The sequence below is a fragment of the Homo sapiens genome, chromosome 1 (genome assembly GCF_000001405.40).
Source record: "Homo sapiens chromosome 1, GRCh38.p14 Primary Assembly".
Taxonomy (NCBI): Eukaryota; Metazoa; Chordata; class Mammalia; order Primates; family Hominidae; genus Homo; species Homo sapiens.
In genome coordinates this window covers 86505407-86517846 of record NC_000001.11, presented here as the reverse complement: position 1 = coordinate 86517846, position 12440 = coordinate 86505407, and the positions used below count along the sequence as shown (strand labels likewise).

At 40.6% G+C, this 12440-nt stretch overlaps 1 long non-coding RNA gene across 1 annotated transcript in view, besides 1 other annotated feature; it reads left to right on the top strand.

The window, feature by feature from the left end:
- LOC124904210 (uncharacterized) overlaps positions 1 to 12440 on the top strand; it is a 51701-nt gene that overhangs the window by 9750 nt on the left and 29511 nt on the right. The window lies entirely within an intron of this gene.
- Positions 9559 to 10060: an enhancer, noted in NCBI's record as "NANOG hESC enhancer chr1:86973470-86973971 (GRCh37/hg19 assembly coordinates)". NCBI's record gives its function as "activates a minimal SCP1, AML or CMV promoter by ChIP-STARR-seq in naive H9 embryonic stem cells {active_cell/tissue: H9 hESC(naive)}" and the evidence as "EXISTENCE:reporter gene assay evidence [ECO:0000049][PMID:30033119]".

Below are 12440 nucleotides of genomic sequence, written 5' to 3'. Positions count from 1 at the left end.
AGTTGTCCATCTACACAGCCTTTTGATAAGACATTTCTTCCCCTTAGTGGACCCAGGGTGAGTTTCAAGGGCATGAGAGACCTGTGTAGTCACTTATGGCCCTGCACTCAAGGGGTCCTGTGCTTGGTTTAATCCTCTGCTTCAGTTGTCTTAAAATTCTTAATAATTTTATCTTTGAACTTGTGTTTTATAAGGGAAGCCTGATGGGACAATAGAGAACATGTGTAACTAGTGGAGATAGGTGTGATTATGTGTATCTGCCATTCCTTACTGTGCCATTTGCATACAGGTTCCTGATGGCTCATGCACAAAGAATTTGGGTAGGCCTAGAATGCTTGGAAAGTCAGTGAGACTCAAAATGCCAGATAAGCATGCCATTTCTAGGACTGAGTAAGCAGGTGCCCTGACATCTTGAGACCACACTTTTAGTTCAAACCAGAACTTTCTTTAAACACAGAAAGAAGGCAAAGACATTCTAAGAAACATAAAAGACCACGTGATTCTACCTATCCTTTTTTATTTGTGTTACTTCCCTGTATTTGCCAATTACTTGTGCTGAAAATGATGACATAGAAGGAAGGAGAAAGATGAGGCAGCCCATAGTTCCTTTTCCTTTCAGTCTTTTCTTATTCATCAGTCAGCTGAAGGTAGAGGGTGTTGGTAGAATGTGAACATATTAAGTGAAATAAAAACACTTGAGCCAGTTTTATGCAGTATTTTCATTGTTTTGACAAAACAAAGTAAGTATGCATGTACAAGCTACAAAATACAAATTGTGTATTCAATATACAAGTTAAAAGTTCTTACATTTGTGTTTAAAACTGGCAACACATAATGTAGATGCATTATGTGGTGAAATTCATGTGGTGAAATTCATATGAATACTTTAGAATTATAATTTTTCTTTACTTAGAACATTAAATGACAAAAAAGTAACAAACAAACAAACAAACAAAAAAACACCGTGACAAGCTGAGATGCACTATGGAAGAAAGAAAAAAGCTTTATATTTTAGTGACTTTAATTACACTTTTTTCCTGATGTTTGAATAAGGCCTTGGTCCTGCATTTTCATTTTGTACTGGGTCCCCAAAATTGTGTAATGTGTCCTGTCCTCTTCCGATGGAGTGTAGAGTCCACAGGACCAAGGGGTTGTGACACCCAGTGTGTGTCCTCCCACAGCCCCACATTTCTAGAACCTGCATAACATACCCAACATGAAATTCCCTGACAAATGACTCATCCTGCTTCCATGGTCTGTGTGTGCCACAACTGACTTGGAGTTCTTCCTAGGGAAGATTGTGACAAAGATATGTATACTTCCAGGTTGGAAAGATGGACAAAGGGTAGCTATTGATGTGGTGTATGGGCTGATGAGGCCACACCCATATGCATGAGGCCTGCTGGGGTTTGGACTGTGGAGTAGAGAAAGATAGGAAGATGGTGAATCATGGCCCATCTGTTCCTGAGGTGTCATGTCCCACCATCACACTAAGAGGTTTCCAAGAATTTTAAATTTGAACCTGGACTTCCAAATCCTTATGAAGGTATATTTGTCAAGACCGGAGATAACACATTGTAACAGCTTGTAGGCCTGATTTATAATGTTTACATATTTAGACACATGGTATCTGGATCTACATTTGTCCTCTTGCCTCAGGACACTCAAATATTAGTGGAGGACCTAGACGTGAAGATGTGAAGCACTTAGTGCCTGGCACTCAGTAAAACAAGACAAAACAAAACAAAAAACCCAGGAAACGGTAGCTGTTATCATTATCAGATAAAATAATTAATGATAATGATAATAATATCACACCATTTTCTTCTCTGTCAAGGCCCTGAGTTTTGCTCACCTCTCCCTCACCCTGCACTTTCCCCCCCGAGTTGGTGTGATGATGGTGGTAGTATTTTGCTTTCCAAACCTCAGATTAGTGTCTGAGGAGGGAGACTTTTCTCTACATGGACTGGTTGCCTTGATCCTTAAAGTGCTGCCTGGGGTCCCACTTCCATGCCCTACCAGTAGGAGTAGTGCATTCCTGTGCCTGCCTGAATCACACGTGAACTCAGTGTGCCCTCTGGAGTTTGATTTGTGCTGTCCATTGTACAGGTCATCACTAATTTTTAGTCTCCCCTCCCCCTTAAGAATTCTGAGCTTCTTTGAAATTTAGGAAAAGCTTTATCTCTAGAAACAGCTAAAATAGGTTAGGAAGAAGCATTTAACATGTTTTCCTTTTGCATGTGGGTTCAGGAACCGAGTTAAATAGATTTTTCTCAATTACAATAACTTTGCATTGCTTGGGCTTTTTAATTGAATGACTTTCTTGTCCTCTTTATTTAGTTCTTACCTGGGTTGTTAGATTTGACTGTCTATGTGAAATTTTACTGTAAGCCTCCTTGAACACTGCTTTGTTGATTTGTCTTCTCTTTCTTAGTTTAATGAATCACTCTAACAGATTTTTTTGGGAAAGATTTTGGCGTTTCTTTAAAAGTCTGAAACCATGTAGAATTACTTGGAGGCAATGAAAATCTATTGAGGCCATATGTCAGGTGTATTTTTAAAGTATAATTTAAAGATTATAGTGTTTATATTTTCTTTATTTTTGATATTGTTCTGGGCAATGATTTTTTTGGATTCGACTCCAAACCTCAGGCAACAAAACCAAAAATAGACAAATGGTATTACATCAAACAAAAAAGCTCCTGCACAGCAAAGGAAACAAATAACAGAGTGAACAGGCAACCTGTGAAACGGGAGGAAATATTTGCAAGGCCATACATCCAATAAAGAGGGAATATCTAAAATATATAAGGAACTCAAACAACTCAATAACAAGAAAACGACCTGATTAAAAAATAAGCAAACGGCCTAAACAGACATTTCTCAAAAGAGGATGTATTAGTCAGGGTTCTCTAGAGGGACAGAATTAATGGAATATATAAAGGGGATTTTTTAAAATGTTAACTCACATGATCACAAGGTCCCACAATAGGCCATCTGCAGTCTGAGTAGCAAGGAGAGCCAGTCTGATTTCCAAAACTGAAGAACTTTGAGTCTGATGTTCAAGGGCAGGAAGCATCCAGCACGGGAGAAAGATGTAGGCTGGGAGGCTAGGCCAGTCTTTCTTTTTACATTTTTCTGCCTGCTTATATTCTAGCTGCACTGGCAGCTGATTAGATTGTGCCCACCCAGATTTAGGGTGGGTCTGCCTTTCCCAGCCCACTGACTCAAATGTTAATCCCCTTTGGCAACACCCTCAAGGGCACACCCAGGATCAATACTTTGTATCCTTCAACTGAATCAAGTTGACTCTCAGTATTAGCCATCCCTTGTCAACTTGAAGCCATACACATCTCCTAAGATCACACATAATCTTCAAATAAAGACAATAATAAGGTCATAATTACGCTTAACATAATACAACTATCCTTCATACAACCAAAATGCACCAGTCCCCAACCCAAATACATAAAGTTAACGATACTTAAATGCTAATGTGAAGTCAATAAATCTTATGTCACATGATAAAGGAGAAAGGAAAAAAAATGAAGATATTTTCTTGGTACAAGTGTGTACATGTACAAACATGTTTTTAACAAAAGAAGGAGGAAATACTCATGACAATTACAGTCCTCGTTTCTACAGCTGGTCCTGTCGTGGTAGCTGATACCAATGACTACCTTGTTCTACTACCCATTTTGTATCCCATTTGCCTTCAGCAAGCACCTCAGGCGGCCATGTTTTTTCCCTGTTGGAGTGACCCAACCCTTCATTCCTGAAGGGCCTGGATCATTCGTAGTCCTGCCTGGATTGGGCTGTTGTAGTTTCCCATTACCTTAATCACAGGGCATGGTAATACTAAGAGACACCCTAATGGATCTCCTGTATTCCATTCATATTCTTCCTTACCTCCATTGTGGAGTAGTAGACTAATTTCATCTTGATAGTCCGGGTCAATCACCCCAGCCAACACTGTAATTCCATTCTTAGCCTGTTGACTTAAAGGGAGGAGAAGCCCAAAGTGTCCAGGTGGCAATCTTAACTTCCAGTATAATGGATCGTTGTGTCTCCTGGTGGCAGCATTCCTCCCTCTGGAACTAAGACCTCCAGGCAAGCAGAACATAATGTCATGGGACAAGGAAGCAAAAATTTTGCTAGTGAATCACTAGGGGTGATGGTGAGTGGTGCTACTTCTACTTCCACCCCTTGATTCCTGGACCCATGAATCCTGGCTATGGGAGAAACAGTACCATATACTGGACGCTGATTCAGAACGTCCATGGCCTTCTGGAGAACTGTGCCTCAGCCCTGCAAAATATTGTCACCTAGTTGGCTTTGTAATTGTGACTTCAAAAGGCCATTGCACCGTTCTATCAATCCAGCTGCTTCAGAATGTTGGGGAACATGGTAAGACCAGTGAATTTCATGAGCATGAGCCCACTGCCACACTTCTTTGGCCATAAAATGAGTGCCTTCATCAGAGGCAATGCTGTATGGAATCCATGATGGTAAATAAGGCATTCTGTGAGTCCACGGATGTAGTCTTGGCAAAAGCCGTTTGTGTAGGATAGGCAAACCCATATCCAGAGTAAGTGTCTATTCCGGATAGACACTTATTCTATCCAGTGAGGAAAAACCTCTGCTCTTTCCATGATAAAAGAGGTCCAATATAATCAATCTGCCACCAGGTAGCTGGCTGATCACCCCAAGGAATGGTGCCATATGGAGGGCTCAGTGTGGGTCTCTTCTGCTGACAAATTGGGCACTCAGCAGTGGCCATAGCCAGGTCAGCCTTGGTGAATGGAAGTCCATGTTGCTGAGCCCATGAGTAACCTCCATCCCTGCCACCATGGCCACTTTGTTCATGGATCCATTGGGCGATGACAGAGGTGGCTGGGGAAAGAGGCTGAGTGGTGTCCACAGAATGGGTCACCGGGTCCACTTGATTATTAAAATCCTCCTCTGCAGAGGTCACCCGTTGGTGAGCACTCACATGGGATACAAATACCTTCACAGTTTTTGACCACTCAGAGAGCTCCATCCACATGCCTCTTCCCCAAATTTCTTTGTCACCAATTTTCCAATCATGCTTCTTCCAAGTCCCTGACCATCCAGCCAAACCATTGGCTACAGCCCATGAATCAGTATATAATTGCACATCTGGCCATTTCTAATTTCATGCAAAGTGCACAGCCAGGTGCACTGCTGGAAGTTCTGCCTACTGGGAAGATTTCCCTTCATTGCTGTCTTTCAAGGATGTCCTAGAGAGGGGCTGTATTGCTACAGCTGTCCACTTTCGGGTGGTTTCTGTGTATCTTGCAGAACCATCTGTGAACCAGGCCCTAGTCTTCTCTTCCTCTGTAAGTTGACCATAGGGAACTCCCCATGAGGCCATTGGTGCAGGCTGAAGAAGAGAAGGCAGGGTGGCAGGAGCAGAGACCATGGGCATTTGAGCCACTTCCTCATGTAACTTACTTGTGCCTTCAGGACCTGCTTGAGCCAGATCACATTATATACCACTTCCATTTGATGATGGAATGCTGCTGTGCACACCCCACTTTATAACTAGATGGATCAGAAAGCACCCAGGTCATGATAGGCAGTTCAGGGAGCATGGTGACTTCATGACCCATAGTCAAATATTCAGTTTCCACCAAAGCCCAGTAACAGGCCAAGAGCTGTCTCTCAAAAGGAGAGTAGTTATCTGCAGAAGATGGCAGGGCCTTGCTCCAAAATCCTAGCTGTGATTCACCTATGGGGACCTGCCAAAGGCTCCAAACAGTATCCCTATCTGCCACTGACACCTCAAGCACCATTGGATTTGCTGGGTCATATGGCCCAAGTGGCAGAGCAGCTTGCACAGCAGCCTGGATTTGTTGCAGAGCCTTCTGTTCTGGACCCCCCTCAAAACTGGCAGTCTTTTGGGTCAGTTGATAAATGAGCCGGAGCAACACAGAAGACATACAAATAGTCAATAATACATGAAAAAAATGTTCAACGTCACTAATTACTGGGGAAATGCAAATTAAAACCACAGTGAGATATAACTTAACACCTATCAGAATGGCAATTATAATAAAGACAAAAAATAGTTGTTGGCAAGGATGTAGAGAATAGGGAACCTAGTATACTGTTGGTGGGAATGTAAGCTAAGACAGCCATTAGGGAAAACAGTATAGAGGTCTCTCAAAAGACTAAATTATCATATAATCCACAAATCCTCTTCTGGGTATATATCCAAAAGTTTTAAAATCACTATGTTGAAGAAATATTTGTACTTCCATGTTCATTACAGCATCAGTCACAATAGCCAAGTTATGGAATCAATCTTAGTGTCCATCCATATATAGAACATTTTCTTTATCCATCTGTTTGGATGAATGTATGTGTATCTGTATATGCATACATATACAGGTGTATATATTATATATATATATATAATACACACACACACACACACACACACACACACACACACACACCCTATGTATCTATCTATATATTCACACAATAGAATACTATTCAGCCTTAAAAAAATAGATTATGTTGTGACATGGATGAACCAGAAGGACATTTTTCTAAGTGAAATAAGCCAGATACAAAAGACAAATGCCATATGTTCTCACTTATACGTGGAAGCTAAAAAAATTGAATACATAGAAGCAGAGAGTAGAATGGGTATTAACAGAGGCTGGAGAGTTAGGGGAATGGGGAGATGTTGGTCAAAGTATATAATGTTTCAGCCAGACAGGAGGCATAAATGATAAGAATTTGAAGTGACGGATTTCTTAATTAACTGGATTCAATCATTCCATATTGTGTGTACATATATATATATATATATATATATATATATATATGAAAGAATCATTTTGTACCTCATAAAATATATACAATTATAACTTGCCAATATCCAACAAAAAATTAATTAAAAAATAATTCAATCCCTAGAGGAATTCCAGAGTATACCTGGAAGCAGATTTTGCCCAGCATGACTAATTCCGAGATGTAGTAATATTTGGAGAAACAGAGGTTCGATTAGGGTTATTTTGCTTCATTTCTTTCTCTTGCTTTTCTCTTCTCTTCTTATTTTATACATATACCCAGACATCATGAAAGTAAAAGGATCACTTTCTCTGGCAGATACCACATGTGGATTAGGTATGCAAAGCATGAGTTCCTATAATATGTGCTTCCCCTGAAATAGACCCTACATACTGTGCATTGCTTTGTTTGTTTGTTTTTAACTTTTATTTTAGGTTTGGGGGTACATGTGAAGGTTTATTACATAGGTAAACTTGTGTCATGAGGGTTTGTTGTACAGATTATTTCATCACCCAGGTATAAAGATCAGAGGACAATAGTTATTTTTTCTTCTCCTCTCCCTCCTCCCACCCTCCATCCTCAAGTAGACCACAGTGTTTGTTGTTCTCTACTTTATGTTCATGAGTTCTCATCATTTAGCTCCCACTTATAAGTGAGAACATGTGGTCTTTGGTTTTCTGTTCCTGCATTAGTTTGCTAAGGATAATAGCCTCCAACTCCATCCATGTTCCCACAAAAGACAGGATCTTGTTCTTTTTTATGGCTGCATAGTATTCCATGGTGTATATGCACCACATTTTCTTTATCCAATCTATAATTGATGGGAATTTATGTGGATTCCATGTCTTTGGTATTGTGATTAGTGATGCAGTTAACATTCATATGCGTGTGTCTCTATGATAGAATGATTTCTATTTCTCTGAGTAAATACCCAGTAATGGGTTTGCTGGGTCAAATGTAGTTCTGCTTTTAGCTCTTTGAGGAATCACCATACTGCTTTCCACAATGGTTGAACTAATTTACACTCCCACCAACAGCATATAAGTGTCCCCTTTCCTCTGCAACTTTGCCAGCGTCTGTTATTTTTTGACTTTTTAAAAATAGCCATTCTGACTGGTGTGAGGTGGTATCTCATTGTGGTTTTGATTTACGTTTCTCTAATAATTAGTGATGTTGGACATTTTTTCATGTGCTTGTTGGCTGCATGTATGTCTTCTTTTGAGAAGTGTCTGTTTATGTTCTTTGCCCTCTTTTTAATGGGGTTGTTTTTGTCTTGTAAATTTAAGCTCCTTATAGATCTGCGCATTGTTAAGTGCCTGTTCGCTTGATAGTACTTTAGTTGGCAGAAACCATGTAGCTCATTACCCATTGTAATCTTAGTGTCTAACATGGGACTTGGGATACAATGTGGGTACTTTAAAAGTATTTGCTGAATAGATAAATGAATGTCTCAAGCACACAGACAACATGCTTAATGCAAAGCTAAAGGATTTCAGGGCAGGTGTCTTAAGAGGTGGAAGTTGAAGGAATTGTCAAAGGAGGACTTGAAGTGACATCCCAAGGCATATAGGGGCCATATAAAGAAAAAGATAATGGACCAGGTAAAAAGAAACAATCAAGTGATGGGAGTCATCATGAAATTACAACGTCAGTTCAGTGGGATAGGAAGTGAACAGCACAGAGGGTTAGGAGGTTGTGTCCAGAATAGGATACTGGATTTTAAGATTTCACAGGTGCGGTTGTTTCAGGTCATTACTAGGTCAAAATGTGGCCTTAGCAAGACTTGCTCAAACCATATGCAATTGCCAATATTCGAATTTTTTACTTATAAAAATACACTTTTATTATTCAAACCAATAGTTTGTTCAATTTTAGTGGAGGTGGGGTGACGATCAAGGAATTTTGAGGCTGAGATATGAACTGACTCATTCATATAGATTCTGAGACCACTCAGAGTGATTTTAAGAGGTGAGGGGGGAAGAGTGTTGTGCCTAACTTGGGTGAGTGTGGTAGATAACAGTGAAGAGAAGGGATTAAAAAACAGCATAGATCAATGACATAGGATGGAAGCTTTAAACAAACCACATTAGATCATAGGGGTAACAGCCTAGCTTGGAAGTTGCAAAGGGGAGCTTGGAGAATATTTCTCCCTACGCTCTTTTGATGCTGGATACTTGGATATTAAGAGAAGTACCAACATCTGGAACAGATTTACCAGATTTACTCACTCACTTAATTGACTTATCAGAGGCTAAGGCCATTGTGGGTCAATGATGGCATAAGGCAAAAATTTGGCTTATTTTATCACCTATGACAATACAGATCCATTTCGCAATAAACTTTCCTATAACCCAGAGTACATAAGAATGTTTTTTCTTTGTTGTTCTCTACTTTCTATCTTATCTATATGTTAACATTTACCTCTTCTTCTCCAAAGTCACATGGTATGCATCTCTGGTTTACTACCATATCCCATGCTACATTTTACTGAGTTCACCCAAATGGGAAATTAAAATCTCAGTGAGTGACTTATTGAAAAATTTCCAGGCGAAATCCATGGTAACCATGTTCTACGAAGTTGGGACCTCAGTCTCATTTGTCACAAAGTGGCCTTCTCATCAGCTAAGTGCTTGGTTTGGTTTTGTAACATTTAGAAAAGGACTCCAAACTGACCCTTGCAGAGCTTATAGCTTGCAGTGAACGCCAAGAATGAGTTCTCAGACGATTCTAGCTGAGCGGAGCGGGGGACCACCCTTCTGAGAGAGAGTGTCACCCCAGAATCCATCCGCCAAGTATTTATTGAAAGGGCTTGTTAAACTACAAACATCCACTAGATGGCCTCTTGAGGTCGGGTCGTGAGGCACTTATGGCCTTATAAAAGCACTCAAACCACATTCTCAGGAGGCTGTTTTCAGCCTTCCTTATGACACGCTCCACTCCTTGTCCTGTTTTCAGGGTCAAGGAGTTACATTTCCATGCACAAATAACATACACACAGTGCCTCCGTCTTTTTCCATGCCCCTACCTCAAATGCCTTGTACACAAGCTTGAATGTGTTGCCATGCACCCCCGACGTCTCCCCCTTCTTTAATTCTTAGAGCGTGCTGGTCATCCAATGCAAGGTAAACTTCTATCGTTCTTCCCTGGTTGTCGACGCGCTGGGTAGCAGCACAGAGCCATCTGCAGATGTCTAGCAAACAGATACAAGAAAGAATAACTATAGCGGCCATCACCCAGATGCGCATGTTTAACCCAGACAACCAAGTGTTTGGGTTTAACCATTGAAAGCCTTCTTGAAATTGCTGAAGGGTACTTGTTTGTGATTGCTGTGACCTTTCTTCAAGTTGTTTCTTCAACTCACACTTAGGAGTAGAAACTTGAGAAGACAAATGGTCGCGATAAGCCCCTTGCAGATGTGTGTTCACTCTCTCCCAAGCATATTGGGAGCTATTATACGGCAGAAGTGTGACACAGATAGAATTATATTGCCAATCACAATGTAAATTTTGACAGGTAATGAATGCCTGCTGCTGATTCCCTAGCTATTTAACAGTGGCTTTAAGAGCCTCCAGGTGAGGCAGAATAGTTTTATCAATATTTACCTGTTCTTGAAATTCATGGGTTACATTATATGCAGTGTGGTTCACCACTGAGGCTGCGTGAATAGATTGTGTCAGAGAAACAGCCACAGTAGCGGCAGTTGCTAATATAATAATAGCTGAGACTAAAAAGGCAATTAAAGTGGCCAGAAATCTTTTTTTCTGAGTATGAGACAGTGCTTTTCTAAATAGCTGCAGAGTGGAATCTCCTTCCCAGCTCCTGGTTAAATTTATGGGCAGCTACAATTCTGCACGCCATTTTACAATCATGACATAGGTTATATTCAACTGTGTAATGTTTTGATGAGACAATCATGTAGCATACTAACTACTGGAAGAGACTTTAATACTATAAAAGGATTGATTCTGCTCTATGTTAGGAACACCTTGCCCAAACAAAAGTATATAGGGGTGCATAGTACAAATCAGGACTGTGTCAGTAACATTATTATGCAAAGAGAGGGTATAGTTGCCACCACTAGTAATATACTCACCATGTGAAAGAACCCATTCAATAAAAGGAAGTCCTAGTCTCCAAATTTCGGTATGAGCAGGGCTTAAAGCCTGTTTCCCTGTTAGTTATAATATTGGTCCTGAAAGCCCATACTCTGACCAGGTGACAAAACTATTGGAAGGACTCCAAATCCAGTAGTCTGATTGGCACACATAAGATTACCATGGGGACCCCATTATCAAACAGAGGCCCTTGATGGGGCGCAGGCTGTCTGCACAGCGAACACTGGACGACATCAAACTTATATTGCCAGTCTCTACTCAGACGGCATATAGGAAGATCAGGCCCTTGTGTAGCTTCATTAGAGACCTCAGTAAGATTAGTGGTAACAGCAGAAATAAAGGTCAAGTTTGCAAGCTTAGTATCCCTTTTGGACTGAGGTAAAGATATTCCTGAAGATTGAGAATGACACACTTATCACGTGCTATTGTGGAAAAACAAATAGGGGGATTGCTATACAATAAAATCAAGGAGTAATTAAGTTTAATCCATCCCAAATTTTCAGTTAAGGGGTAAGACAAGAGCATCCATCGACCTCCTATCCAAGAAGTGTCATTAGATGACAAAGGCGGGTCAGCATCCCACCATGTAATAACATTAAAAACACGGGGATTTAGAACATGACTCCAATAAACATGTTCTTGAGCTGATCCCACTTGGCAAAGTATAAGAATTACCAGCCACCCCAACATCCATGTCTGTCTTACTTTCTCAGAAGTTTCCCCAGTTGCCACAGATACATAAGAAACCGATTCTCTGCAGTTGCATGGGCTTCCACGGCTGCAAGCAGGATAGATGCCTGTTGATCCAATCTCTTTAGCTGTCCCCAGGTAATGTTAGGTGACTTCTGAGTCATCATTGTCATTATTGGTTGATTCTCCGACAGGTCCTAGTCTCGAGAACAGAGCCCCATATTCCCCCTTTTTTGTTTATTAAGATATATTTTAAGAGTTTGATGAGCTTATTTAACAATGGCCTGACTGGCTGAGTTAGAAGGAATACCAGTTTTGTGTTGTATGTACCAAAGTTGCAATGCATATGCAAATTGAGCACTAAGATAGTAAGGTCCATTATCAGTTATTATAGTGTGTGGAAAGCTTAGAGTCATAATAGAGTTAAACAAATTAGCAAATGCATCTTTAGTTTTTTTCTCCCGTCTGGGGGGTAGCATGTGTCAGGCCTGTATAAGTGTCCATGGTAACGTGGAGAAATTTAAAACTTCCAAAGGATGGTTACTGAGTAACATCAGTTTGCCAGATAGTGTTAGGCACCAGACCTCGTAGGCTGGCACTAAGCCCTAAGGAAAAAGGGGAAAGAGAACGCTGTTGGCAATCAGGACAGTTTTAATAATCATGTGAGCTTAAGCAAGTGTCAAATGAAACTGTTGTTTAAGACTGCAGGCGTTCTGATGAAAAACAGCATGATCAGCTTGAGCTCGCAAAAAAGCAGGAGAATCTGCAAACCACATCTGTGGTCGTACCAGAGCATCAGCTCAAGCATTC